This window comes from Homo sapiens, chromosome 1 (genome assembly GCF_000001405.40).
Source record: "Homo sapiens chromosome 1, GRCh38.p14 Primary Assembly".
Taxonomy (NCBI): domain Eukaryota; kingdom Metazoa; phylum Chordata; class Mammalia; order Primates; family Hominidae; genus Homo; species Homo sapiens.
In genome coordinates this window covers 106,284,669-106,287,662 of record NC_000001.11, presented here as the reverse complement: position 1 = coordinate 106,287,662, position 2,994 = coordinate 106,284,669, and the positions used below count along the sequence as shown (strand labels likewise).

At 35.8% G+C, this 2,994-nt stretch overlaps 1 annotated feature.

The window, feature by feature from the left end:
* Positions 361-862: an enhancer, noted in NCBI's record as "NANOG hESC enhancer chr1:106829423-106829924 (GRCh37/hg19 assembly coordinates)". NCBI's record gives its function as "activates a minimal SCP1, AML or CMV promoter by ChIP-STARR-seq in naive H9 embryonic stem cells {active_cell/tissue: H9 hESC(naive)}" and the evidence as "EXISTENCE:reporter gene assay evidence [ECO:0000049][PMID:30033119]".

Here is a 2,994-nt window from a genome sequence, read left to right as displayed (position 1 = left end):
TCGCTGGATGCTTCTTGCTACACTTCATTACTGGTTTCTCCCCCTCCTACTGATTTCTCAACTTTGATCAGCCTTGATCCCAGTGTTCTAAACTCTTTTCTCTTTTATGTAAATTCACGCCCTAGGTAAGAGCATAATCTCTCGTGATTTTAAATAACATTTCTTTCTGATGACAACTAAATGTATATCTTCAACTCAGGGCTCTCTCCTGAATTCTAAAGGTGAAAATCAAATTCTCCACTCAACATCACCATTTCAATGTCCAAATGAACTCTTGTTTTCCCTCACCAAAAGTCTTTCCCATCTAACTAAAATGTAGTTCCATTCTTCAGTTAATTTGGCCAAAAATCATTCAGTCCTCTTTGACATTTGTCTTTTTCTTGTACTGTACTTTCTGTTCGTCTTCTGTCTATTGGCACTGCTACCAACATGATCTAAACCTTTATAAGTTCTTACTGGTGCATTTGCAGTAGTTCTTTATCTGCTCTCTTTATTGTCACCCTTGTCCCATTCTCTCCATTGTTTTTTCCCCTCAGTGCAGCCAGAATTACCATTTAAAAGCCTAAGTCAGATCATGTAACTACTCTGTTTAGAACTCTCCAATGGCTCCCATCTCATTCAAAATAACTTAGAGTACAATGATCCACAAGATTCCCCATGATGTAGTTCCGGAGAACTCTCTGCTTTAACCCCAATGACGTACTCGATATTCTGCAAACATGCTGAATCTGCTTCTGCCCGAGAGTCCGCACCTGTTGTTCCTTTTGATATAACACTCTTTTGCTAAAGTGCTTAGTTTTTGTTTTGTAGCTTACTTCTGGTCTCTGAACAAATGCTGCTTTATCAGAGGAGTCTTACTCTAGCAACTTATATGAAATAGTATCCTGTAATTTTCTATTCTCCTTTACTGTTTCTTTTTCAAAAACACTTATTGCATCTAATATATATTCATTTCTTTACATCTTTTGTCTGCCTCCTCAACACGCAAATGTAAGAAGCTAATGACATTGTTTGCACTTTGTTTTATTGCCATATCCTCAGTGGTTACAACAGTGCAAGGTGCATGCTAAATGTTAAATAAAGATGCTTGAATGATGTGTGAGTAAGTAAGCAAAATGAAAACAAAATTATTTGGCACATGTGAAATACTTCAGTCCATGTTAAACAGTCTATAATGAGCTTTTTGGGGGGTATAGATTTTTACCAGCAATCTATCTATCAACATTTTTACAACTAACATCTCTCTACAATCTCTCTACAAAGGCATTGAAACTTGTTGAGAATACACATATTATATATATATATATATATATATATATACACACACACACACACACACCCACACATATAATATATATATATATATATACCGACACATATATATATATATATACACACACACATATATATATAGACACACGCACATATATTAATTCCATGAGAATTACTTGTTTAAAAACTCTGTGGGGGCTTTTAGAAAACAAGATGTTTTATTTATTTAAATTTTTTTGCTACATGGTCTTTCCATTTGGGGCTGCTATTGATGACATTTTTCTCTTTCAGCATTTCCAAAGAATCTCTTTAACGATTGAAGCTAAATTAGTGTCTTTTTTATTACTACCCTTTAATTATGAAAATAAATTAGGTAGTTTCATTTCAACACTGCTGCATTTATCCGCCACCTCACATTACATAGCTCTCTGATTCTCTCTGATTGAAAAATCCGTATTAATTACTGTGTCACTGCCTATATGAAATCAACTCCAGTATATTATGATGTAATTGATAAAAGCCATAAAAATAAATTAGCTGAAACTTGCTAAGCACTTCGCTACTGTGTAAACATTTGTTTTGAATTTCCTCCTACTTTCTTGTGCTTGTGATTTTACTATTTGCGGGCTGACATTTGTTGAAATTTTCTCTACAGAAGTTCAAAGATACATTGGAGTGGAGACCCACATACCCTCCACACAGGTAACATCACTCATACCCTATGTGTATATTAGGGTGTGTTTATCCAAGAAGATTTATGTTGGACTTTTCCTGGTACTTCCTGAAGTATCATCTCAACTGGATGATTTGGGATGTAAACATTCAGGCCCTAAACACACATAAGGTAGTTAATGCCTTTGAAATACTAGAAAGGAGGGGGGACCTTTTTTATTTGTCTTTTAATCTACCATTAAGAGCACACAGGAAACTATCTTTTAAGTTAATGATTTTCCTCAAGATGTAGCTCTTTCTGATTCCCTTATTTTTAAGGTGTAGTTTCTCTTCCTAGCACTAGTCCAAGGCTTAGCTCATGGTCTCTCCTTTCTCCTTCTCTGTGCAGGCTCTATACATGGAAGGCTTAATTCCATCAGGGTATTTCGGCATTACTGCCACTCACTTACTTTCCTGGGTGGGCAACTTTGTTTCATTGCTAATCTCAAAAGATTCTCCTGCTTTGTTGCAGTATATTCCATTTCTTGAAATAATATATTTTTTAAGTTTTTGCATGTCTTATAGGCAGCAAATTTGGAAATCTCCAATCTAACAGATTACTTAAGATAGAAACACCTGGCTGCATAAACACATGAAAAAATGCTCATCATCACTGGCCATCAAAGAAATGCAAATCAAAACCACAATGAGATACCATCTCACACCAGTTAGAATGGCAATCATTAAAAAGTCAGGAAACAACAGGTGCTGGAGAGGATGTGGAGAAATAGGAACACTTTTACACTGTTGGTGGGACTGTAAACTAGTTCAACCATTGTGGAAGTCAGTGTGGCGATTCCTCAGGGATCTAGAACTAGAAATACCATTTGACCCAGCCATCCCATTACTGGGTATATACCCAAAGGACTATAAATCATGCTGCTATAAATACACATGCACACGTATGTTTATTGCAGCATTATTCACAATAGCAAAGACTTGGAACCAACCCAAATGTCCAACAATGATAGACTGGATTAAGAAAATGTGGCACATATACACCATGGAATA